This window comes from Homo sapiens, chromosome 3, assembly GCF_000001405.40.
Source record: "Homo sapiens chromosome 3, GRCh38.p14 Primary Assembly".
Lineage (NCBI taxonomy): Eukaryota > Metazoa > Chordata > Mammalia > Primates > Hominidae > Homo > Homo sapiens.
The window spans coordinates 3034490-3061555 of NC_000003.12; the positions used below are offsets into that span (position 1 = coordinate 3034490).

Genomic DNA, 27066 nt, shown 5'->3' on the forward strand with positions numbered 1-27066 from the left:
GAGTTCAAAAAGGATTTGACAAGTGATGAATCTGTGAATGGGTAGATAAATGAATGGGTCAATGCCCCATTCAAGTATGTGGCTCCTTTACTTGGGTGTTTGAATACACTGCTCCAATTCTGGGGGTCTTGCTCTTTCCCAGGTCCTCCAGGTCCCCCAGAGGCTGTGACAATAGACGAAATCACAGATACCACTGCTCAGCTCTCCTGGAGACCCGGGCCTGACAACCACAGCCCCATCACCATGTATGTCATTCAAGCCAGGACTCCATTCTCCGTGGGCTGGCAAGCAGTCAGTACAGGTACCATATTGGATGCTTGGCTCAGAGACATTGGGAACTCAGCATACTGGACACAGCACTGTGGCAAGGAACGTCTAAGTTCTCATTCAGACACTACTACAAATGATATATTATGGCAGTGTTTCCTAAACCTCGGCCAACTGTACTATCATTAATATTTTTCTTTATATCAAATCACAGTTGGGTTTTTTTAAACTCATCCTAAGCAATAGTATCTGTGAAATGGTAATGTCCAGGCCAGATTTGGTGGCTCACGCCTGCAATCCCAGCACTGTGGGAGGTAGAGTTGGATGGATCGCGTGAGCCCAGGAGTTCCAGACCAGCCTGGGCAACATGGCAAAACCCCCTCTCTACAAAATATACAAAAATTAGCCTGGCATGGTGGTGCGTGCCTGCAGTCCTAGCAACTCAGGAGGCTGAGGTGGGAGGATTGCTTGAGCCCAGGAGGTAGAGGTTGCAGTGAGCCAAGATCACACCACTGAACTCCAGCCTGGGTGACAGTGAGACTCCGTCTCAAAAAAAAAAAAAAAAAAAGTCTGTTGTGCTGGTTGTATATGTATTTTCCGTAACACACATTAAAAATATATTAGTTATAAAAATAAAATGCATCAATCTGTATTACCTAAAATCATCTGTGTAGCACTGTGGTTCACTTTGGAAAGCAGCGGATTCTGCCTGACTATAGTCACTTAATAGTCACAGACTTCATAAAGTTTACACAGTGCTCTCAAAAACCAATAACAGAGGATTATAGGGAGCCTCTTCACTTGCTGCTGTGTTTTTTGAGACAGGGTCTCACTCTGTCACCCAGGCTGGAGTGCAGTGGTACAATCACAGCACACTGCAGCCTCGACCTCCTGGGCTCAAGCAATCTTCCCACCTCAGCCTGTTGAGTAGCTGAGACCACAGGCGCAGGCCCCCACACCCAGCTAATTCTCTAAAATTTTTTGTAGAGACAGGTCTTGCTATGTTGCTTAGGCTGGTCTCAAACTCCTGCGCTCAAGCAATTCTCCATCAGCCTCCCAAATTGCTGGGATTTCAGGCGTGAGCCACTGTGTCCAGCCCCATTTTTTTAGATGGATAAATTTGGGGATAAAAAGACATGAGATTTCTTTTTAACCAATTTTACAAATTCTTAAAAAAAAAAAAAACATTGTTAGCAGCAACACTTCCATCCTGTTTCCCTTTATTACATGTATACAGCACTTCCTATTTTTTAAAAGTTTCACAGTTATTTCTCTTTGCATGTAAAAGAATTCTTATACCAACCCCACTCTGTCAGTACCTCCAAATTGACTCATTTTCTTATTTAGATTTCATTTAAGGATAAATTGGATGAACAAGTAGTTATTACAAACAAAGATACACACTCCTCTAGACAGCAAAAGTAGGCTATATGGCCTTGATGTTTTGAAGGAGAATATGCCCAGTGTTGAGCAATTCATATAAATCTTGTTGATTTTAACCCATTTGTTTTTTTCACTTTAGTTTACTAATCCTTAGAAATGGGTTTCTGTGTTTCCTTCTGTAATCACTGAGTCACAGGTGTGCTTTAAGAAGGAAATATGAGAAAAATATAGAAGTTAGGAGATGAATTCTAGACCTGACTGCTAATCAGCTGATCTCTATACATCTTCATTTTCCTCTTCTGTTAAATGGGCACAATAAGAATTGTTTAAGAATGAATATAGGCCAGGCGCAGTGGCTCACAACTGTCATCCCAGCACTTTGATAGGCCAAGGCGGGTGGATCGCTTGAGCCCAGGAGTTTGAGAGCAGTCTGGGAAATGAGGCGAAATCCCGTCTCTACTAAAAATACAAAAAAAAAATAGACAGGCATAGTGGCATGCACCTGTAGTCCCTGCTACTCAGGAGGCTGAGGCACAAGAATTGCATGAGTCTGGGAGGTGGAGGTTGCAGTGAGCCGAGATTGTGCCACTGCACTCTACCCTGGGCATCAGAGAGAGAGAGAGAGAGACCCTGTCTCAAAAAAAGAAAAAAAAAAAGAAAAGAAAAAAAGAATATAATACTTTTACCTTTCTCAGAGGATAGTTGAAATAGTGTGTCTGGCACTATACAATAAATGCGGAAACACATGTGAAGGGGTGATAGTAATGATTGAGTCAGGTAGTTTGGGGTCTTGTGGACTGTGTGTCTTTTATGATGTCATCTGCTGGTATCTGATTAGAGTGTGTTAGTTTAACATACAGAGATAGTTCTGAGATTACCTCACTGAAACAACTGTTGATGCAGCTAATATCAGAACACCTACACTGCCCTGAATACAATAATGATGAGGATGGATGGATGTTCCTATCTTCCTAACGTAATCTCTGCATTTGTTTTCTGAGAACCTATGAAACAGCCCCCACCTTTTGTTGTCTTTCAGTCCCAGAACTCATTGATGGGAAGACATTCACAGCGACCGTGGTGGGTTTGAACCCTTGGGTTGAATATGAATTCCGCACAGTTGCAGCCAACGTGATTGGGATTGGGGAGCCCAGCCGCCCCTCAGAGAAACGGAGAACAGAAGAAGCTCGTGAGTAGCACCCGAGATTCAGATCATCTGTTCTGCCAGCTGCTGTTCCTTAGGAAAAGCGTTTGAATTCTTGCTGCTCTTCAGCGCTCATGCGGCTCTGTGTTAGCTCACCCTTCCCTTTAAATGTTTATAATGATAGAAATCAGGCCAGGAGAAGCCCAGCTGAACACGCAACGGGTTTCAATCAAGAGTTGTTTTCTTCATTAGGTCCACTTGTACAGCAAGAGACACACGGTGCTTAGTCCTCTCAAAAGCCAGCCCTTTCTTCATTGGTTCATTTGTCACCAAGATTCTAACAGAATTTCAAAAAAAAATCCCACATTTCAAATAAAATTATCTCACATAAGTAACTAATGGCAAAGAATAATTTGTGACTGCTCTGGACACAGCCACCATGGGGTAATCCTGTTTAGAATAGAAATAAAAAATAATTTCTTCAGAAATGTTCACTTAGATTATCTTTCTTAGGGTATAAACCATTCCCAGAAACGAAGATTCAGAACATCGTGCTCATTCGAACAAGACCAGTCAGCAATTCAGTATGGCCCTCTGCATATGCAGCTTGAATGAGCACGGGGAGAGAAGAACAAGTTCATCAGGGTCAGCCGTACTTTTACTTAGCTGGTGTAAAGCAAGAGGCCTACATGTGCCGTCTTTTATAGAGTTCCCGCCTGTAGAGAGGCCAGTGTGTTGAAGGAATAATAAGGTCCCTACACAAATAGGAGTTCTGACCCTACTCTCAGAAAAGCAAAAACTCATCTAGATCTATTTGATTGGCTTTAACCAAGGAGACATACCCAGTCACCAGCCACATACCCCAGTGAGACCTTTTTAAATGTGGCCCGGAGCCTTTCAGTTACGTGATGACAATATAGCTAGTCCCCTGCTTTCTTTTCCCCTTCCAAAACCATAATTGAATTAATTCCCCTCAGCAATCCTGAGGTGGAAGCTCGCATAATTTCCTCTCTTTTATAGAGAAAACTGGTGATCAAAGAGGTTAAGCTCAGTGAGCCGGGGGTCAACTTCTGTCTGCCACTTCCTTCAACACTCAGATCAAAACTCTTCCTCCCAGAAGCCATTCGCCCACCCCAGCTCTGAGCAGGGCGCTACTCCGGAACGCCCCCCGCTTCTCCATGCTGACTGTTCCTTACCCTGGTTGTCGACCTTGCTCTAACTGGTGCAGGCGCTCCTCCACTCCAACCAGCTTGTAAGCTCTGCCTGGGCAGAGCTTGTACTCTTCCCTTTGTGTATCTCCACGTGGCTCATAAACGCATAACCAAACATTAGGACCAGACTTCAGTCCTTTCCTCCCTTCGGGAACCCCTCGGCCTCTAGGGATGGAGCTGAACAATTGGTCAGACGTGTCAGATAACACGTGTGCCTTGTTGAATGGGAAACAGGTAATTAATAGCAGTCTCCTTGGTACATTTCACTTCCTCGAGCGGTCGCCGTGGGCCCCTTGACAATGCTGTTGCTGATCTCCAGAGACAAAGGGGCGTGCCTCAGAGTACTCACTGAAAGTGAGTCACCTCTGCCAGGCAACCTTCCTGGCCCTCATTCGCCTTTGCCGCCTGACATAACTTGTTTTTTGTCTCCTTGTGCAGTCCCCGAAGTCACACCAGCGAATGTCAGTGGTGGCGGAGGCAGCAAATCTGAACTGGTTATAACCTGGGAGGTAAATGAATCACAGAATAAAAGGAACGTACACGCATCGAAGCTATTTTATTATTTTCCTCCATGTTAGACATAGCTGGGAAGTTTCCTCCTCTGTTTTTAACAGTGAAAATTCATTTGGGTTCAGACACTCCCTCTCACGTAGCTAATGGCTAGCAGGAAGGACGGCACTTGCCCATCCATTGTTGAGGCAAGTTTTAATTCAATCCATCACAGTAAAAACAATTATGAAGGGAAGACAACACACGTTACAAAAAAAAATAAAGAAGGCTGTTTCAGAGAAAACTAGTTTTTCTTTTCTTCCTGAATTGCTGCATGGCCAATTGATTTAAAACGTCTGCCAGCAATAGATTCAGTGCACCAGCACAATTTCCTGGCAATTGGCTTTGCTTCTAGAAGGGGCCCTCTTTTAGGAGGTATTTTTTAAAACAACCTGGAGGAAAGTTAGTCACCAATTTATTAAAAATTGGCTTTGAGAGAAGAGGTGGGAGCTTTAGAAAGGGTTCTTCATGTTTTTGAAAGATTCTAAACAGCCCCAGAAATTAAAATCTCTCATTTACCCAAAGCACAGCAGTGAAAGAAATCACTCATCCCTCCAGCTGAACTCTTCCCTCTGAGAGGGAGGATCTTCAGCCAAGATGGTTTTTCTTCCTTCAGTGAGATCTTTTGTCTATTTGGCAATGGAAGAAGATTAGTATTAGAGGATACGTGTTGGAAATGTGGTTTTTCAGGAGACCGATGTCCAGTGTTTTTTTTTTTACAATCATTTCCAACCATTTCAGAGCTGGGTCTGCCCCATCAAAGAGCAAGCTCTGGACTGCAGATCCTCATTACGTTTTCAACCCTGTCCAGTACATCATAACTGTTTAAGATAGACTGACTGCAAGCCCTAAATTTAAAAGACTGTTAACAAAACGCCAAATAAGATGGGTGGAGAAGGATGTAGACAAGAATGTTACAAGGGAAACAAAAACGATTTTTGCATTTGAGTGAAACTACTGTGATTTCTGAAGACCACCTTCCTTCTTTCCCAGACGGTCCCTGAGGAATTACAGAATGGTCGAGGCTTTGGTTATGTGGTGGCCTTCCGGCCCTACGGTAAAATGATCTGGATGCTGACAGTGCTGGCCTCAGCTGATGCCTCTAGATACGTGTTCAGGAATGAGAGCGTGCACCCCTTCTCTCCCTTTGAGGTTAAAGTAGGTGTCTTCAACAACAAAGGAGAAGGCCCTTTCAGTCCCACCACGGTGGTGTATTCTGCAGAAGAAGGTATCGTTTATGCTGCCTAGATCATTGACTGTTAATATTTCTTCAATTCTAAAATGTGGATTGTAGCACGTACAATCAATTTCGCATGGTACATGTATCTTGAAGGCATACCTGATTTGAGAAGAGGATAATGTAAACAATTTGGTTCGCTGTCCACCATGAATCTCTTGAAAAGATAGCGACTGCTCTGTATATGAAAACACTTGGCTGTCCATTATTGATTCCATTGCTAAGGACCAGAATTGCAAATACCATATAAGATCTTCATATCTATCTATATGTTATCATTACTTTCAAAAGAATTTTATTTTTGCCTTTAAGTGAATATCAAAATATAATTTGCATTTTCTTACCACTTGTATTTTCATAAAGCATATGGTACTTGTGGCTCACACCTGTAATCCCAACACTTTTGGGAGGCCAAGGCGGGTGGATCACCTGAGGTTGGGAGTTCGGGACCAGCCTGACCAATATGGAGAAAACCCATCTCTACTAAAAATATAAAATTAGCCAGTTGTAGTGGCACATCCCTGTAATCCCAGCTACTCAGGAGGCTGAGACAGGAGAATCACTTGAACCCAGGAGGCGGAGGTTGCGGTGAGCCGAGATCGCACCACTGCACTCCAGCCTGGGCAACAAGAGCAAAACTCCATCTCAAAAAAAAAAAAAAATCTCACTTATTAAAGAAAAGAGTAAGTCATGAAGCAGTGTGATTGCGCTCACTGTCATCCACACCATCATTATGTTTAACATTTCTCACACATTATTATCACCTCCATGCTATCCCTGCTCTCGGGATGCCTCTCACACAGTCTTCGTTACCTTTGGAGTTCGTCTATGTTGTTTTAAAGATGATGCTCAGAATGGGACCATGTTAAAACATCTGAAAGGTGAATCATTGATTTAGAGTCAGTGAAGATGCAATAACTTATTCCCAATCAGAGAGATCATCCCCTTAGACTCAGTAGCCCTCCATGATCTAGCTGCTGCCTCTCTGTCTGCCTCAGCTGCTGATGCCTTTCCCTGCATATTTCATGTTCCAACCATTGCCAAAGGATTTACAATTATTCAAACAAGCTTCAGCCCTTTTCATAGCCTTCAACTTCTCTTAGATAATAGTTCATGTCTCTGGATTATGAAAATGAGAGGAAAAGGGGAAAAGGACAGTCAGCTGACTTGACTAAGATTCAAGAGAGCTGGATGACACTTCAGGTTCACACTGCAATCTGTATGATCTTGGATAACTCAGGTATACTCTGTGGGCCTCAGCATCTTTGGCTGCAAAGGAGAGGCTAGACTGACTGTTTCCCAAATTTCAGTTATTTTTGCCAGATTTCTGCCATAGCTGTGTACCATTTGTATATGTTCACATTTTTCTTTCAATAGTCTTCCTTAAAAAAAATTTAGTGGGCAAGCACAGTGGCTCATGCCTGTAATCCCAGCACTTTGGGAGGGGGATGTGGGAGGATAGCATGAGCCTAGGAGTTTGAGACCAACCTGGGCAACATAGCAAGATCCAAGTCTTTACAAAAAAACATTAGCCAGGCGTGTTGGCACATGTGTGTGTGGTCCCAGCTACTTGGGAGGCTGAGGCGGGAGGATGGCTTGAGCTCAGGAGGTCAGGCTGCAGTGAGCCATGATTGTGCCACTACATTCCAGCCTAGGTGACAGAGTGAGACCCTATTTCAAAAAAGAAAAAGAGAAGCAGTTTAGCCATGTCGTAAGCAATAACATTTGTGAGATGCTAATTAAGAAGGATCTGTGTTAAGGGAATTGCTGGCTATGAAAACTTGGTGCTTAAACTTAAGTGGTTCTTCTCTTCTACCCACACCTAAATTCAGAACCCAAACACTGGACAAATATTCACTACCACCAACTCCAGCTATTAATCACTGCCCCTCTGCAAAATGAGGGTTTGGCTTACAATCATTAAGGACGATTCTATAACCATGAATTATTTTACCTTATAATGCTAGTATCTACAATCCTGTCCTAATATAGCTGATAGAGTAATAACTATCTCCATATTCATCTACAGAACCCACCAAACCACCAGCCAGTATCTTTGCCAGAAGTCTTTCTGCCACAGATATTGAAGTTTTCTGGGCCTCCCCACTGGAGAAGAATAGAGGACGAATACAAGGTTATGAGGTAGGCAAGACATATGTGCCTTGGGTCTGAAAGAGAGTCTATGCCCCTTGATAAGTCCTCCAAGTCACATTCTTATAGGAAGAGACCCACATTCCCACTAAGAGGCATTGGTTTTAGGCCTGGCTTCCAGCTGAACATTAATGGAAGCATTGAATACTCAGCTGTGAGACTACCCTTTTTCTATGTTATATTCTAGAGGTATTTTTCGAATTATATGCAAATCTAAGCATTTACGGGATGGTTGGCAAAATGAGCTTTGACTTCTGATATGCCCAGGATCACTTTGACTCAAAACAAACATGGGAAAAAAGAAAATAATGAACGACGGTTGTGTCAATGTACCGTCTCACTAGGAAGCTAAGGACAAAAAAGGGACCCTTCTTACTTTGGATAATTTCTCAGGATATACAGAGTCCTTTGTCCTGATAGCTCTGCTCATGATGTAGTATAGAAAACTAACTCCATCATAAGAATCTGCGTACAAAATTACCTGATGACATTGCAAATATCCCCATTGGGTATGGTTTCCAAGGTCTTTCTGTTTATCTTCTTAGGTTAAATATTGGAGACATGAAGACAAAGAAGAAAATGCTAGAAAAATACGAACAGTTGGAAATCAGACATCAACAAAAATCACGAACTTAAAAGGCAGTGTGCTGTATCACTTAGCTGTCAAGGCATATAATTCTGCTGGGACAGGCCCCTCTAGTGCAACAGTCAATGTGACAACCCGAAAGCCACGTAAGAACAGACTTGCTCAGAAATATTTTGGGGATTCATCACACATATCCCAAGTTTATTCCTTATCCCCACCTCCCAATGATCATTTGCATACTAATTAGTAGCATGTGGATTCAAATTTCCCTCAGCATTTTAACTGAACCTTTCCGTATACCACGCAAAATTCATTGCTGTGGAGGACAGAAAGATAAATGTTTTTCTCCTCACTGGGAAGGGCTACTTCTTTTAGCTATAAATGTTAGGCGACCAACTGAATCTTTTTCCATTTGCAATGCTGTATCTCATCAGATTTTAGTGACCTTGAAGACACATATTAGTGCAATAGCCCATTAAATTGCCTCCACTCTCGAATTCTAGTAAGGAGATATTCCTCAGAATCCATTGAGACTTAATAATCTGTGACTTCGTATATCTTAATTTTTTTATAGCACCAAGTCAACCCCCCGGAAACATCATATGGAATTCATCAGACTCCAAAATTATCCTGAATTGGGATCAAGTGAAGGCCCTGGATAATGAGTCGGAAGTAAAAGGATACAAAGTAGGTAATTTCTTTTTTGCAAAGGCACCTAATCGTGCTGTGAGTGGGGGCAGTCTCCTCCATGAATTATACAGTTGTCTGCATTGTCAGTTTCCCTGGTGATGCTCTCCTACCCTCTAGGAATCGCTGCCTCCAACACGGTTTGATCTGAGTTGTATAAATAGTCTATGGCAATTGGTCAGGATTTAGACAATCACCTTAACTTTAGTCTCAGGCAGCATCAATCAGAAATGGATAAAGACCCTGTGTTTGGGTCTCCAAAAATACCCTGAAGAACCACTTTTTAAACATTCCTACTGTCAGCTTCGTTTTGCTCCTGTCTCGGTTTATATATATTTTTTAGTCAACTTAGTAGCCTCCTGATATTACCAATGATTAATCATTTTTGTTCGTATGTTTCTATAGTCAAGAGTTATATAAAGAAAAAGAGAAAAGAGAGAAAAAGCAGGAAAAGTGGAGAAAATGTTTGCCTGACCCCATAAATGTTGGCTTGTCTTTAATGAGAAAATGAAAAGAACATGTCTGTAGCCTTCTTGCAGCAATCAAAAAGGGTTATAAATATCTTGCAACGTTTCCAGCTACCTATTTGCTACCTAACAAACCAACCTGAAGCTAGGGGCTAAAACAGCAACAGTGTATCATTTTTTATGACTTTGCAATGTGGATAGGGCCAGAATGGACAGATTTTAGGGCTGGAATAACTAAGATGCTTCTTCACACACTTTTGGCTTCTTGGATGGGATAGGTGGGAAAGCTGAGGCTGGCCAGTGATCATGCTCTCTATGAGGCCTTTCCCCACGGATAACCTGGGCTTCCTCACAGTATGGTGACCTCAGAGTAGTCGGATTTCTTACATAGTTGTCAGCTTCAAGAGGAAGAAAGCAGAAGCTGCCAGCCCTTTTAAAAGCTAAGGATGGACGTGGGCAGTTCCAAGATGGCCAAATAGGAACAGCTCCAGTCTATAGCTCCCAGCGTGAGCAACGCAGTAGACTGGTGATTTCTACATTTCCAACTGAGGTACTGGGTTCATCTCAATGGGGCTTGTCGGACAGTGGGCGCAGGACAGTGGGGGAAGTGCACCGAGCATAAGCTGAAGCAGGGCGAGGCATCGCCTCACCTGGGAAGGGCAAAGGGTCAAGGAATTCCCTTTCCTAGCCAAGCAAAGCTGTGACAGACAGCACCTGGAAGATCAGGGCACTCCCACCCTAATACTAATACTGCGCTTTTCCAATGGTCTTAGCAAACGGCACACCAGGAGATTATATCCCATGCATGGCTCAGAGGGTCCCATGCCCGGCTCAGAGGGTCCCATGCCCACAGAGCCTTGCTCGTTGCTAGCACAGCAGTCTGAGATCGAACTGCAAGGCAGCAGTGAGGCTGGGGGAGGGGGCGCCTGCCATTGCTGAGGCTTGAGTAGGTAAATAGCGGCCTGGAAGCTCAAACTGGGTGGAGCCCACTGCAGCTCAAGGAGGCCTGCCTGCCTCCTTGCCCTCTGGGGGCAGGGCATAGCCAAACAAAAGGCAGCAGAAACCTCTGCAGACTTAAATGTCCCTGTCTGACAGCTTTGAAGAGAATAGTGTTTCCCCCAGCACGGAGTTTGAGATCTGAGAATGGACAGACTCCCTCCTCAAGTGGTTCCCTGACCCCCGAGTAGCCTAACTGGGAGGTACCCCCCAGTAGGGGCAGACTGACACCTCACACAGCCAGGTACCCCTCTGAGACAAAACTTCCAGAGGAACGATCAGGCAGCAACATTTGCTGTTCAGCAATATTTGCTGTTTTGCAGCCTCCGCTGCTGAAACCCAGGCAAACAGGGTCTGGAGTGGACCTCCAGCAAACTCCAGCAGACCTGCAGCTGAGGGTCCTGACTGTTAGAAGGAACACTAACAAACAGAAAGGACATCCACACCAAAACCCCATCTGTACGTCACCATCATCAAAGACCAAAGGTAGATAAAACCACAGATATGGGGAAAAAATAGAGCAGAAAAACTGAAAATTCTAAAAATCAGAGCACCTCTCCTCCTCCAAAGGAACGCACCTCCTCACCAGCAATGGAAAAAGCTGGATGGAGAATGACTTTGATGAGTTGAGAGAAGAAGGCTTCAGATGACCAAACTTCTCCGAGCTAAAGGAGGAAGTTCGAACCCATCCCAAAGAAGTTGAAAACCTTGAAAAAAGGTTAGACAAATGGCTAACTAGACTAACCAATGTAGAGAAGTCCTTAAATGACCTGATGGAGCTGAAAACCATGGCACGAGAACTACATGACGAAGGCACAAGCTTCAGTAGCCAATTCGATCAGCTGGAAGAAAGGGTACCTGTGATGGAAGATCAAATGAATGAAATGAAGCAAGAAGAGAAGTTTAGAGAAAAAAGAATGAAAAGAAACGAACAAAGCCTCCAAGAAATAAGGGACTATGTGAAAAGACCAAATCTACGTCTGATTGGTGTACCTGAAAGTGACGGGGAGAATGGAACCAAGTTGGAAAACACTCTGCAGGATATTATCCAGGAGAACTTCCCCAGCCTAGCAAGGCAGGCCAACATTCAAATTCAGGAAATACAGAGAATGCCACAAAGATAGTCCTCGAGAAGAGCAACTCCAAGACACATAATTGTCAGATTCACCAAAGTCGAAATGAAGGAAAAAATGTTAAGGGCAGCCAGAGAGAAAGGTCAGGTTACCCACAAAGGGAAGCCCATCAGACTAATAGCGGATCTCTTGGCAGAAACTCTACAAGCCAGAAGAGAGTGGGGGCCAATATTCAACATTCTTAAAGAAAAGAATTTTCAATCCAGAACTTCATATCCAGCCAAACTAAGCTTCATCAGTGAAGGAGAAATAAAATCCTTTACAGACAAGCAAATGCTGAGAGATTTTGTCACCACCAGGCCTGCCCTAAAAGTGCTCCTGAAGGAAGCACTAAACATGGAAAGGAACAGCCAGTACCAGCCTCTGCAAAAACATGCCAAATTGTAAAGACCATTGATGCTAGGAAGAAACTGCATCAACTACCGAGCAAAATAACCAGCTAACATCATAATGACAGGATCAAATTCACACATAACAATATTAACCTTAAATGTAAATGGGCTAAATGCTCCAATTAAAAGACACAGATGGCAAATTGGATAGAGTCAAGACCCATCAGTGTGCTGTATTCAGGAAACCTGTCTCACGTGCAGGGACACACATAGGCTCAAAATAAAGGGATGGAGGAAGATCTACCAAGGAAATGGAAAACAAAAAAAAGGCAGGGGTTGCAATCCTAGTCTCTGATAAAACAGACTTTAAACCAACAAAGATCAAAAGAGACAAAGAAGGCCATTACATAATGGTAAAGGGATCAATTCAACAAGAAGAGCTAACTATCCTAAAAATATATGCACCCAATACAGGAGCACCCAGATTCATAAAGCAAGTCCTGAGTGACCTGCAAAGAGACTTAGACTCCCACACAATAATGACGGGAGACTTTAACACCCCACTGTCAACATCAGACAGATCAACGAGACAGAAAGTTAACAAGGATATCCAGGAATTGAACTCAGCTCTGCACCAAGCAGACCTAATAGACATCTACAGAACTCTCCACCCCAAATCAACAGAATATACATTCTTCTCAGCACCACATCGCACTTATTCCATAATTGACCTCATAGGTGGAAGTAAAGCACTCCTCAGCAAATGTAAAAGAATAGAAATTACAACAAACTGTCTCTCAGACCACAGTGCGATCAAACTAGAACTCAGGATTAAGAAACTCACTCAAAACCGCTCAACTACATGGCAACTGAACAACCCGCTCCTGAATGACTACTGGGTACATAACGAAATGAAGGCAGAAATAAAGATGTTCTTTGAAACCAACGAGAACAAAGACACAACATACCAGAATCTCTGGGACACATTCAAAGCAGTGTGTAGAGGGAAATTTATAGCACTAAATGCCCACAAGAGAAAGCAGGAAAGATCTAAAATTGACACCCTAACATCACAATTAAAAGAACTAGAGAAGCAAGAGCAAACACATTCAAAAGCTAGCAGAAGGCAAGAAATAACTAAGATCAGAGCAGAACTGAAGGAGATAGAGACACAAAAAACCATTCAAAAAATCAGTGAATCCAGGAGCTGGTTTTTTGAAAAGATCAACAAAATTGATAGACTGCTAGCAAGACTAATAAAGAAGAAAAGAGAGAAGAATCAAATAGATGCAATAAAAAATGATCAAGGGGATATCACCACCCTTGAGAGTGGGTAACAGGGTTAGACCAGATGGTAGGAAAGGACACTTTCTGAGTTCTTCTTAATTTCCAGCTCAGTCACTCCCCCTTCTTTTTAGGAGTGGTACTGGAAGAGCCAGACACCCTACACCTCCTCAACTACACCCCAAGGAAGGTCACTGTAACTGGCTATACATTTTGAATTGCTACATATACATGTGAATGTTTAGAGATACATAATTTAAAGCTACAGGTATCCACAGGTTCCATACTCTCAAATGTGGATCAAAAATATTCAGGAAAAAAAACACACAAAAAAATACAATGAAAATGACACAGATTTTAAAAACAATACAGTATAACAACTATTTACATACCATTTACATTATATTAGGTATTATGAGTAATCTAAAGTTGATTTAAAGTATACGGAAAGATATGCTTAGGTTATACACAAATTCTATACCATTGTATATCCAGGACTTGAGTATCCACAGATTTTGGTATTTTAGGGAGGTCCTGAAGCCAGTTCCCTGAATTACCAAGGTACCAATGAATAACTCTCTCTCTTTCTCTCTCTCTCTCTGTGTGTGTGTGTGTGTGTGTGTGTGTGTATTTGTGTGTGTGTATGTGTGGTACCTCCCGTGATATCTCACGTCCCATGATAGCTCAGGAAACTCTCCCTAGTGTCACTTTTAGGGTGAGATTAGAGGCTGAATAAAAAGCGGATCTGATTGCAACGGAAGAGTTGACCTTTGCTAGAGAATTTGACCCATTAAATATGGCTATTGTTTATCTCAGACTGACCCTTTCCAAAATTAAGTTTTCCTCCCAAATACTGAACATGTTGGGGTGTGGGTTTATTTTCCCTTCTTCACTAAGTTGTCTGAATTCTTTAGATCTCAGCTTAGGTAGACAGTCTCAACAAGAAGCTGACTTTAGAAAGTTTAAGGCCCCAAATATTTTGTCAACACAAATCCTTAAGCTACTTTATGGCATTAGAGCTAAAAGGAGAGCATCTGGTTTTAGTATCACAAATTAAACTACCTGCAGGGCCAGGCAGATAACATAAATGAGTTCTGTTCAGTCCATTCAGAAACTACTACTAATACGTCTACTAAGCACTGTTCCAATTCATCTTAACTTTATATTTTATTTTGTTGTATTTTGAGACAGAGTCTCCCTCTGTCACGCAAGGTGGAGTGTAGTGGTACAATCTTGGCTCACTGCAACCTCCGCCTCCAGGGTTCAAGCAGTTCTCCTGCCTCAGCCTCCCAAGTAGCTGAGACTACAGGCGCCCACCACCACGACTGGCTGATTTTTGTATTTTTAGTAGAGATGGAGTTTCACCATGTTGGCCAGGCTGGTCTTAAACTCCTGACCTCAGGTGATCCGCCTGCCTCAGCCTCCCAAAGTGCTGGGATTACAGGCATGAGCCACCATGCCTGGCCTCATCTTAACTGTATAATAACCATGAAGATAGGTACAGTTATTATTGCTAGTTTTACGGATGAAGAGCTGTGGCATAGAGTTTAGTCACTTGCCTTTCACACAGCTGGTATGTTGAAGACCTGGGATCCGAATACAGCAGTATGGATCCTGAGTTCTACATTTAGCCACTTGGTGCTTCTGCCTACCAGCCATAAATAAATAGAATAAGTGATAACAAAGTACTGCAGAGAAAAAGAGGCTAGAGTGAGGGGAATAGAGAAAGCCATGGAGTGGACAGGAGAGATGTATTATTTTATAGAAAGGCCAAGGAAAGCCACTTTTAAGTGGTGAGATTTCAGTTGGGCCTTGGCACCTCTCTGGGAATGTCCCAAGTACTGCAAAAAAGGAAGTGCAAAGGTCCAGAGGTAGGCATGTGACAATGTAGCAACATTGGAAGTGTTGGGACTATCACCAACTGCAGAGTTTGTGATTGTTCAGAATGAGACTTCTCAACTCCAACCAGTTGTTGGCAGACAGGAATATAGATCACTGGCTTAGTCTATTTTATTCTGGATCGCACTTTTGTAGAGTCTTACTCAGGAACAGAATACCTGAGACTGGGCAATTAATATGAACAGAAGTTTATTGACACCCAGTGCTGGGAGGGAGAGGGATAGAGAGCTGACTCGCCCTTTTACAACAGTGCTAATTCCATCTGTGAGGGTGAGCCTAATCACCTCATGGCCTAATTATCTCTTCAAGGTTCACCTGTTAATACAGTTAAAATGGCGAATTTCAACATGAGTTTTGGAGAGGACAAGCATCCAAAGCATAGCAACCAGTGTGGCCATATCTTCCAGTTTTTCAGTAGAACCCACAAATTTTTAATGTCTAATTTCTCGGTTTTTAAATGTTCATGTCTAACTCAAAAAAAATAACACTATGACAGCCAAACAAATAATATATGCAGGCTGGTTATGACCCATGGGCCACTAGTTTTTTGCTGTCTAACTCCCTTGGTTTGTGTTCCCAAAGACAGATGCCAGAGAGGGAAAGCAATTTGCCCAGAGCCCTACAGGTGGTAGCCAAGGTAGTCTTCGTTAAAAATCCAGGTTCTGAGGCCGGGCACGGTGGCTCACACCTGTAATCCCAGCACTTTGGGAGGCCGAGGTGGGTGGATCACCTGAGGTCAGGAGTTTGAGACCAGCCTGACCAACATGGTGAAACCCCGTCTCTGCTAAAAATATAAAATCAGCAGGGCATGGTGGCGCATGCCTGTAATGTTAGCTACTTGGGAGGCTGAGGCAGAAGAATTGCTTGAACCCGGGAGGCGGAGGTTGTAGTGAGCTGAGGTCACACCATCGCACTCTAGCCTGGGCAATAAGAGTGAAACTCCGTCTCAAAAAAAAAAAAAAAAAAAATCCAGGCTCTGGAGCCAGACTGCCTAGGTTTGAATGCAGGATCCGCCACTTACCAGTCATGAGACCGGGCAATTGCTTCACATCTCCACATCTCAAGTTCTCATCTTTGAAATCAGAATAATAACATTGCCTTCCTTAAGAGGTTATCCACATAAGCATTTAGAACAAGCTTGTACAGCCCACAGCCCACAGGCTACATGTGGCCCAAGATGGCTTTGAATGTGGCCCAACACAAATTCATAAACTTTCTTAAAACATCGTAAGATGTTTTTTGCAATTTTTTAAAAGTTCATCAGCTATCATTAGTGTTAGTGTATTTTATGTGTGGCCCAAGACAATTTTTCTTCTTCCAGTGTGGTCCAGGGAAGCCAAAAGATTGGACACCCCTGATTTAGAACACACAGTGTTCAGACATTAAATAGTGGAAGTAGTCTATAATATTTGCTATTATCATTATTCCCACAAATCCATTCTTTCCCCTTGTCTTCCACCCTAGATTATATCAAATGCAAGCACAGCCTTCAATCAGCTCAAGCAAGTGTTTGGTGTAAATAAAGGCTTTACAGGACTTTATTTGGGTTCTGCTGCAGTCCATAATACTGCAAGACTGATAAGCAGTGCTGATAAAAGTGCTGCTTTTTCCTGGAAGTGTTTCTTTTGGATTTATATTTGAAACAAGTTGAATCCTCTGAGCTCTTGCAAGGACCAGAGGTAAATCAAAGCAGCAATTTATTCCTCAAAGCCAGATGTGACCTTGCATCCCATCAGCCCATTCTCCTGGAGGGCCGTGATGAGAAGCTTTGACACTCCTGAATGTGCCTGAGGATTTATCTGTGCCTAATCATCAGCAAGGGGATGCTGGGTCTGATACAACTGATGCTGCGGAGAAGAAGGGGACACTTATGAATCTTTCTACCTTAAGGAAATTGTGTTTTCCACCTTGTGTTAGAGAGATATAAATTAAGGTGATGAAATGCCAGGGAACAGATGGGTTCTAAACCATTCTAAAGGAATTTTATGAATTTCACTTGTGTCTGGTTTTGTCTTGAGACACAAGAGTGACCTTATGTCTGTAGCCTCAGCAGATCAGAATTTATAAGGGATCTTAGGGAAGGATGAGCTAATCTCGTGCTTCTCAACGCATGATCCCTGGACCATCAGCACTGGCATTAGCTGGGAACTTGTCAGAAATGCAGATTTTCAGGTCCCATCCCAGAACTAATCACAAACTCCAGGAATGGGGCCCAGCAATTTGTGTTCTAACAAGTTCTCCAGGTGATTCTGTTCACGCTTGAATTTGAGAACTACGCGTCTAATTCATCTAATCATGATGCCTATCCCATATTAACATCTCCTGATGATCTTTTAGAAAACAACTACAGCATGGATCCCACCTCTGTGCAGTCTTAGGCAGGCTAGAGTGGAACTGGAGCGGGGTTACTGACCTCCTCACAGTCAACACTTTGAGCTAGAGAGTTCTTTGTTGCGGGGCTGCTCTGTGCATTGTAGACTGTTCAGCAGCATCCCTGGTCTCTCTATCCACTACAACAGGAGGACATGTTTTGACAAACATGTCTGCAGACATTGCCAGATACCTCCCTGTGAGGCAAAATTGCTCCCCTGCCCCTCCCACCCTGTTGAAAACCACTGAGCTACAGCATAAGTATTTTACAAGCACCCCAATGGTTCTAACATGCAGCCAGGACCAAAAACCACTGACCTCATCCAACCCTATCTTTTTGTCAGGGGAAACTACAGAGGATGAGCTTTAGTGGTTCTATAGGTAAAGGCACACTTTCCCAGACCTGTATATTTTGTTCCTGATTGGAGTAAATCCAATCACAGCAGGCAATCCCAGGTAAGTGAATGTGTTTTTAGGAGGCTAGTTGGCCACCTCATCAAATGAATCCACCTCCAAACTCAGAACCCATGGGGGGCCCAAGATGAAAACAGGACTGTTGCAAGCTGCAGATATGTCCAGGGTGACAATGGTTGCCTCTTGGCTACCTAGCCCCATAAAGTGGGGTTCCAGAGGAAAGGAATGGGAGGTTACTACTCTTGCCTTTCCGATATCTTCTCCCTGTGCTGAAATGTCCTGTCTCTAAGAGTCGTGATCATAACTTATTGTGCCTGGCTTGTGCTCTAACCTTTGCCATGTATGTTCTCTGATTATCTTTAAGCCTTCAGAGATACTATTTCTTACATGCTTCCTCTAAGCTAGGCCATCACCAGATTCAAACCTTGTGCAATCTTTTGTATTTTTATATTTTTGAGACAGTCTTGCTCTGTCACCCAGGCTGGAGTGCAGTGGCTTGATCTCGGCTCACTGCAACGTCTGCCTCCCGGGTGCAAGCAATTCTCCTGCCTCAGCCTCTGGAGTAGCTGGGATTACAGGTGTGTGCCATCATGTCTGGCTAATTTTTGTATTTTTTGTAGAGACAGGGTTTCGCCATGTTGGTCAGGCTGGTCTCAAACTCCTGGCCTCAAGTGAGTCACCCACCTTGGCCTCCCAAAGTGCTGACACTATAGGCATGGGCCACTGCACCCAGCCTCCTTGTGCAATCTTGAAAACACACTCCAGAAGACTGGGTATTATTGTCCCCCTTTTACAGATGACTGAAGTGAGGCTCTGAAAGGTGAAGTGGCCTGTGATCCCACAGTGGCCAAGTTTATTCTGATGCCAAAGCACCGATGTGTAACTGAGCACTGTACATCCTTAAGGAGCTACTCATATTTTCCACTTTCCCAAGAGTGTCAACTGAGCCTCCGAGAGGCTAGGCAGTAGGTAGAATCACGTTGCTGATGCCCCTGATATAATATCCTTTCAGCTCTTTCCTTGGAATAAAATGGTAGCTGCAGTCATGGCCCTCACTGCAAATGAGCCTTCCAAATGCAAGTGGGCAGCCAGACAACCTCTACATCCCTGCATTTTGCTCGTGCCCAGAGGTGAAAACAAATGAATGCTCCATATTTGGGACCTTTGTGAAGACGGCAGGTGACACCTGTTCTTTCTGTATTGGCAGGTCTTGTACAGATGGAACAGACAAAGCAGCACATCTGTCATTGAAACAAATAAAACATCGGTGGAGCTTTCTTTGCCTTTCGATGAAGATTATATAATAGAAATTAAGCCATTCAGCGACGGAGGAGATGGCAGCAGCAGTGAACAAATTCGAATTCCAAAGATATCAAGTGAGAATGCCTTTTTTTCTCCCTTTTCTCCTGCCTGTCTTATCTTATCAGCCTTCCAGATGAGTCAGGGCTTGAAAGACATTCAGCCTGCAAAAGCAGACTTAAAATAGAAATGGAGAACACTACCCCCCTTCTCCAGATGTTTGCTGGCCATAGGCAGTTTCATGCAAAAATCAGTTTGCCCGTGTTGACTGATCTACTCAGTTGCTAATCAAAAATCAGATTAAAGCAGACCCGAATTAGTCACTAAGGTTTTTCCGTGTCAACCTGTGTAGTTTGCATTGCATCTATTGTAGCCCCAGAATTACAGTTTAGAAAGTGAAAAGCATTGACTCAGTCAGAAGGAACAAGGACAAGCATTGTTAAGTATGCCGTAGCAGTTTTTCTCCAGTGAAACAGTGTATGCAGTTCAGTATCTTGGAAATATTTGGAATTTACTACTTATTTTCAATGGGTATATGCAACATGTGCATCAATGTGTATGTCTCTCTATAGTCAAGATTATCTTCACTTTCAAATGTTGTTGAATAGCATGGGAGAATAGCATATTCTTTTTGAGCAAATACATTCAATTCTGTTTTTACAAATACCATGTTTGTAAGTATCTTAAGAGCATGATTTTTTTGTTGTTGTGTGTGATCTCATTTATTTAAAGAAAAAAAACAAAATAGCCAAATCCGTGGAGACAGAAGTGAGGCTAGTGATTGGCAGTGGCTGGTCAGTGGGGAATGGGGGTTTAGGCACTGGGTCTTCATTTGGGGTGACACAAAAGTTATGGAGCTTGAGAGTGGTGCTGGTTGCACAACACTGGAGTATACTTAGTACCACTGATTTGTACATTTTAAATGAGTTAAAATGCTAATTTTGTTATGTGTATTTTACAGCAATAAAAAAAAGACTGTGGTTAGATATCTAAGTGTAGACTTTCACAGGCTTTCAGATTTCAGTCTGGAGATTAGGGGAGCAGTGAAGGCTGGAGGTATAAATTTTCAAGACATTGGTAAAAAGATGATATTTTAAATTATGGACAAAATCCTCACCACCATCCTGACTTTTAGCCATGTGACATCCCTCTGCTAAGGGGTGATATGCCAGTGTTTCTGGATGGAGTTTATATTTACTGCATCTTTTTTGCATACAAACACAAAAGGCATTTTTGTCTTAAAAGGGGGACAATTGGATTATACTTTATCAAACAAAGCCTCTAACTTCTATCGAAAGGGAGCTAGATTTTTGGTGAGATGTGGAAGTAAAATCTCCAGGCCACAAAAATACAAGATTGGGGCTTATCTCGCTTCATTAAAAATCTGACTTTATACTTCATACTTTCTTATCATTGCAGGGATTGACATTTTTAGATAGACTGATGATTCCTGGTTTTATTCATTACAAAAACATATATTAAGCAATTATATTGGTGTAATTATTAGATAACAAGGAAGTGACTGTGAACCAAACATGATCTGTTTCAAGAGATTTTTCATCATGTTGGTCAAAGAGACCTTACAAGATTGAAGAACCCCCGAATGACAGTTGATAGCTTCTTACTATGAAAAGTGTAAGACCCATAAGAAAATTTAAAAAAGGATTGAGGCTATTTTGTTTGCAGAAAAGGGGTAGATTTAGACAGACATGGGTTTGAACCCCAGTTTAGCCATTTACTAGCTGGGTGATCTTAGATAAGTTACTTTATTTCTCTGGGCGCAAATTACCGCCATCTGTTAAGCGAGGTAATAATAATACCTGGCCTTCATCCAGTTTTTGCAAGATTTAAGTGTCATATTCATCTGTGCCCAGCAGAAAGATAGAGTTCAAAAGGGAGCAGCAATTTTCATTTTGTTGAATCATCGACATAGCATGCTGTTTATCAGTATTGTTACTAGTAATATTGAAGTTTCTTCTCACATTAGATAGGAACCTCCTTACTTTACAAATGCTTTGACAGAGGTACAGGGCTGTCCTATACCCTACTCCCAGGTTTGTAGCTTGGTAGTCATAGAACTGATATTTAAAAGCCATTAAGACCTTGATCATCATTTCCAGTAGAATCCATGCAGTTCTGCTGTTTCAAAAAGCCCCGTGGCCCCTCTTCCCTTTGAAGCCGGGATGGGGCTGTTTTGAGTGAATTTGTTCTCTCTTTTCAGATGCCTACGCGAGAGGATCTGGGGCTTCCACTTCGAATGCATGTACGCTGTCAGCCATCAGTACAATAATGATTTCCCTCACAGCTAGGTCCAGTTTATGACAAAAGTTATCTGAAGGACTTGCTGTTTATAATATAAGCAACATTTAGCTAGTTGTTTTGAAGACACCCAGTACTAAGTAATATTGTTGTTCAAGTACATCTTATTACTGGAATAAAAATGTTTTTTGCTTCTTTAGGAATGGCATTATACAGTACTTCCTCAAAGCAAATCTAGCTTTGTCTGAAGTTTCTTTGGAAACTCTGCAATGCACTGAAGACATCTGTAATATGATGTTACCAAAGCAGTTTACATATGTCCTTATATGCATATTTTTTATTATATATTTAGTGTTTTATAGAATTTTTTAAAGTTAACATATAATGTAGATATTAATTTTTTCCTCGGCTGTAAAATGCTATGGGCAACACAATCATGCAATTATAATTTGAAAATATTTCCTTTAAAGACAGAGTTTGAAACTCATCTTGGTAAATAAATTGCAAATTACTCGTACAGTTTTACAAGGATCTCATGGCAGAACAGCGGAAGACTTGGTCCGTAACTCAAGGCTGTTGTATGCAAACTACTCTTCTAGTGGTTAATGCACTTGACATGTACAGTATGTTTCCCATGCCGTTGTGATTTTGACATGTACAGTATGTTTTCATGCCGTTGTGAATTTTGTTGTTCAACCCAACTTGAGATGGTTTCAGGAATGGCTGCAATCTCAAAAGCTCAATGTACTGCCCAAGAGGCACCTTGTGCAATATTCCCATCCCTGAATTTAGCATTGTACAGGAAGATTTTCTTTTCACTCAACTGAGTTAGCATTGTCTTTGTGGTAGCATTATCTTAGACATTAAATTTGAAGTAACATATATCCTGTAGTAACATAGACCCAAAGTTACTATAGTCAACCAAGTCTTTCAAAGGATAAAAGATCATTTTATTATCTTTAACTGTATCTATTTTGAATGTAAATTTAAAAAAAGTAATTCTCTGTCAATGGATTCGTAATTTCTTTACAAAATTTCTTATATATAATATGTGTATCTCTGTAATAATAGAGCCCTTCTTTTGAATCAAAATTACATATGGACTTTGGAAGATTGCTCCTATTTCAACAAATAGTTGCTGCAAGAATTTTTAATATGACTCTATAAAAGCTCTTTAGTACAATTGTATGGTTTCTTGATGATTCTGTTTTGCAATAGGTAGCCTAGTTGCTTTATATGCTTTACCTTCTAGGTCTTAAAATCACACATTGGAAAATGACAATATCAACAAAACTGTATTCTTATGAAAAGAACTATTTGTTACAATGAGAAAGGTTTTGTGAGTAAACCCTACTGGACAGTGACATAAAAGGCAATGGAATTTTCTATAAACATTTTCTCATGTAAACATGCTGCCACCTTTTCTTCTTTCTCAGAGAACTCAAATTTGCTATAGTTTGTCATTTTTGCTTACAAATAATATAACTTTTCAACCTTCTAGTTATATTTATCCAATAAAGTCATAATCGGGATTCCATTTGTGTAAAAACTAGGGTGGTAACCGGAAAAAAATATTGTCAGTATTTCAAGCTGTGTTCCTTTCTTAGTTTGATATGGTTACTTCTATGTTGAAATAAAATTTAAAATCACATGCAAAAAAAAAATCAGCAAAATAATAAAATGAACGAAAAAAAATGACACCCAGGGAGTTCCCAACCCCAGTGTAAATGATATTTACCAGTGATCTAGCATATGTAATCTTTTTTAAAGGTATTGTTAATAAATATTCTGTCATTTGTAAAGATACTTGTCTTTCGGGAGCATTTTTCCTGCCTGCCTGTCAGGGAATTTGTTAGCTTACCTTTGTGCTAGTTATAATTTGGGATCATAGAGGGACTCAAAAGTCTCTACCCAAATCTAGATGACCCAGAGCTTTTCCTTTGGAATTGACAACCCTGAAGCACCATTTCAAATCCTCTTTGGAAGTAGAGAGGGTCCTAATCCACAAGTAAATGTCCTGAAGATGAGACTTGAATATTTTCTCTTGATTAGCTAAGTCTTTTGTATATTTACTGTAAGTATATCTGTTGTTTCCCTCACCCCCCATTGCTAAAAGGGTAAGTTCTAAGCTTGAGCATTTAAGGCTCTTTTTTTTTTGAGACGGAGTCTCACTCTTGTCACCCAGGCTGGAGTGCAATGTTGCGATCTCGGCTCACTGCAACCTCCGCCTCCCAGGTTCAAGCAATTCTCCTGCCTCAGCCTCCCGAGGCGCCCACCACTACACCGGACTAATTTTTGGATTTTTAGTAGAGACGAGATTTCACCATGTTAGTCAGGCTGGTCTCAAACACCTGACCTCAGGTGATCTGCCCGCCTCGGCCTCCCACAGTGCTGGGATTACAGGCTTGAGCCACCGCACCCGGCCCTTAAGGCCCTTTTTAATCCAAAACGATTTAACTGTGTATCCAGCCACAGTAAGCCCTCCCTGACCCCTGAACACTGCTTGCTTTTGGTCTCACCTCTGTGCCTTTGGTCTTATGGCTGCCCCTTCCTGAAATGCCTTCTCCACCCTTCTCTCCCATTCAGATCCCTGCTGTCCTAGGGTAGCTCCAGCCCCAGTTTGTCTGCAAAGACTTCCCATGCTTCAGTCCTTTATGACATTCTCGCTTGGAAGTAGTTGCATCCCCTATCAATGCTGCTCATTTAGTAATTAATCAGATACTACTTTTGGAAATCTCTTGTACTGTTATCTTGCATTTTAATTTAACTCCTGTATTGTTACTTACTTTTTCTTGTATGTATGGCTTGTCTTCCCAACTAGATTGTAAGCTCCTTGAGGGCAGGGACTTTGGTCTTATCTTCCATGTACTCTCCATAGTGCCTAGCACAGTGCCTTGCAATAAATACTCACTGATTAATTGAATGAAGGGGTCTTTGAAGTAGCATTTTGCATCAGTTGCCTGCCTGTGTGCCACAGCAAACCAACCAGGGAAGACTGTGTCATTACTTTCGTTATGTGCTGAAAAGCGTTAAAAGGCCTGGCTTCTAACTTTGTACCTGGAAGAAGTCTTTGACCAATTGGCTTCATCATCGGGTAAATGAGGTCCTGGATTAGTTGAGTCTAACTGAATTGAAGATGTTTTAGAAAGTGCCCCATGAGCACCTCCACCCAAACTTGTCTCATTTGTTGGCTTTCATGGTTGCCTCAGGTAGGGTCCACTGGCTGTAAGCAAAGAAACGACCCTGGGTAACTTGAGCAAACAAAAAGTAAGGAATTAGAATGACACAGGTTACATCATATGAGCCAAGGAAACACTGAAGGACCAACTCTTGAGGAGAATAAGAACCAGGCCACTCTGTGGGTCCAGACAATGGGAACTTTGGAAAGTCTTTTTGGGGTGCTATTGTGGGGATGAATCAGCTTTGTTTCCAATTTTGACGCCATTATGCTCAATATTCAGATTCCTGGGAAAGTGATCAGTTCCATTTGAGTTCCACAGCCAGAGTACCTTGTACTCACAGGGGAGGGATAGTTAAAGGAAAACTAAGATGCTGTTTTCCAAAGGTAAGAGAAGAAATGCTGGGTTGGTATAAGTAACAGATTTTCTAGGCTTAGCCAGCCAAGGGGACTTTCTTAGGCCCTTAGCCCAAGTAATACACTCGAGTGGAATGACTATATTGCTGCTTGAGATTTTTTTCTGAAGGAGGACCACTAGGAAAATTTGCTTTGCTTGTTTAACCTTTCAAAGTGCTTACTCTTGCCCTCCTTTTTGTGTGTGTAGTCCACTTGTGATTTAACTGTATGAAAGGAAATTCTATTGTGCCAGATATTTGGATTCTCTCAGTGTACCTACTTTCTATGGAGCCCACACATGCTACATACAAAGCAGCACCTTTCCATGGGCACAGAAGACATGGATGATAAGCTTCATTTCTCAGGTAAGCTCTGAATTCTTCCAGCCTGTGAGGTAGAAGGTGCATAGACTTTGATATTAAGAAAGAATGATTGTGTTATTCCCACCATCAAAATTGTGGTTGTTTATATCCAGGAGGCAATGTTAAATCCTGATTAACCTTTACCCAGTCTCTTCCACCACCTTGCCTCACTACAAATATGCGCAAAGAATGTTGAGTTATAAAAAGTATACAAATAGCACATAATTAGCAACAAAAATGTCATGCAGTTTTTAATCTAATGTAATCAACCAACAGGTGATTTTTGTTCACTACATTGGATTATCGATGCTACTGTTCTCCTCCGTTAACACTTATAATCAAGAAGTGACTGTTATTTTCCTGTTGTTACAATTTACAAAATGTTCTGGCTAAAAACGTTATGTGGCCAACCATAGTGCTTTGAAAGGCAAGCCTTTAAAATCAAGGACTTATATTCAATCTGTGGACATACCCCAGATTTTTCCATTACAAAATGCCAGACACTGAGGCCTTACAAAGGCAGCCTAATACAAAGACTAAGGACGTGGATCCTGGAGTTTGACTGCCTGGGGTGCATTGTAATGATTGGCTACTTATTAGGGAGGATAAAGTTTGTAAAGCTCTCCAAACAGTGATGATTTTACCGTCTGTTATTGTTCTTTTTCTCCAGGGACTTTACTAGACCCACAGATGTAGGATGTGGATGCTTCTTATCACCAAAATGAGTGGAACTCAGCTGACACATCCATTATCACCTTTTATTTAAACATGATCACTTCTTAATATAAATTTTAATGTTCGATAATTTTAATCATACAATCAACTAATTCAAACTTAGGCAGTAGGGTTCCCATTCAGATGCCAGGTTTTGCACAAAGCCTCCCTCAGCTTCCCCATCTGAAATTGACCTTGCATTTCTCTGACCTCCAGGGGATGGGGTCTGTACCCACTCATGTCAGTCATCCCTTCGTACCTTATATTTAAATCATTTTTGTTGGTGTCTTCCGCCTTATAGTAGACACACGGCACCTCAGCGTTGGCATCTGGGTGTGGTTCCTCATTGTGCTCCCAGGCACAAGGCCTGTGTCACCTCCATCTCAGACCTAGAGGGAGGAGAATATCTGGCCCCGTTTCCTGTGATTTCCTCAGGCCCCCTGCCAGAGTGTGATTAGTAAATGCAAGTCAGGCTGCCCATTCTGCAAAGAGGCCCCGTTTCCCCTTGTGCTAAATGGGCCATGCGGATTAAATGTTCCAGCTCTGCAACTCACCTGCAAACTACAATACTCAACAGAGATCACAGTTTAAACAAAATTGGCCTCTATCCTTTATCACAAGCAGTTATGGGCCATGGTAGATTAGCAGAGCTCTAGTGATATAGATCACATAGAGAGAAAGCTTTTTTTAAAAAAGGTCAACCATATGATCGATCTGAAAGTCTGGAAATTGGAAGGCTGAGCTACTT

General features: G+C 42.0%; 1 protein-coding gene and 1 long non-coding RNA gene across 41 annotated transcripts in view, besides 2 other annotated features; one reads left to right on the forward strand and one right to left on the reverse strand.

Moving 5' to 3' along the window:
* CNTN4 (contactin 4) overlaps positions 1 to 23470 on the forward strand; it is a 959094-nt gene extending 935624 nt beyond the window's left edge. For all 40 annotated transcript variants that reach the window (XM_017005783.2, NM_001350095.2, XM_047447536.1 and 37 more), the window contains 9 exons: positions 143 to 301; positions 2690 to 2839; positions 4444 to 4514; positions 5548 to 5782; positions 7821 to 7933; positions 8488 to 8674; positions 9103 to 9215; positions 19318 to 19486; positions 21631 to 23470. In XM_017005783.2, coding sequence (XP_016861272.1) covers positions 143 to 301; positions 2690 to 2839; positions 4444 to 4514; positions 5548 to 5782; positions 7821 to 7933; positions 8488 to 8674; positions 9103 to 9215; positions 19318 to 19486; positions 21631 to 21731 — 1298 coding nt within the window. In that variant the 3' untranslated portion in view covers positions 21732 to 23470. The remainder of the gene's footprint in view (positions 1 to 142; positions 302 to 2689; positions 2840 to 4443; positions 4515 to 5547; positions 5783 to 7820; positions 7934 to 8487; positions 8675 to 9102; positions 9216 to 19317; positions 19487 to 21630) is intronic.
* Positions 3624 to 4823: an enhancer, noted in NCBI's record as "BRD4-independent group 4 enhancer chr3:3079797-3080996 (GRCh37/hg19 assembly coordinates)". NCBI's record gives its function as "activates an origin of replication core promoter dependent on BRD2, P300/CBP, MED14 and CDK7 cofactors, and independent of BRD4, by STARR-seq in HCT116 cells {active_cell/tissue: HCT116}" and the evidence as "EXISTENCE:reporter gene assay evidence [ECO:0000049][PMID:35650434]".
* Positions 4058 to 4167: an enhancer, noted in NCBI's record as "active region_19341". NCBI's record gives its function as "activates an Ori minimal core promoter by ATAC-STARR-seq in GM12878 lymphoblastoid cells {active_cell/tissue: GM12878}" and the evidence as "EXISTENCE:reporter gene assay evidence [ECO:0000049][PMID:35858748]".
* CNTN4-AS1 (CNTN4 antisense RNA 1) lies at positions 5172 to 26656 on the reverse strand. Its single transcript, NR_046554.1, has 4 exons — positions 26578 to 26656; positions 8424 to 8524; positions 6556 to 6665; positions 5172 to 5893 (listed from the first exon to the last, which is right to left on the reverse strand). It is a non-coding gene; the product is annotated as a CNTN4 antisense RNA 1 (long non-coding RNA).
* Between the last annotated feature and the right edge of the window lie 410 nt (positions 26657 to 27066).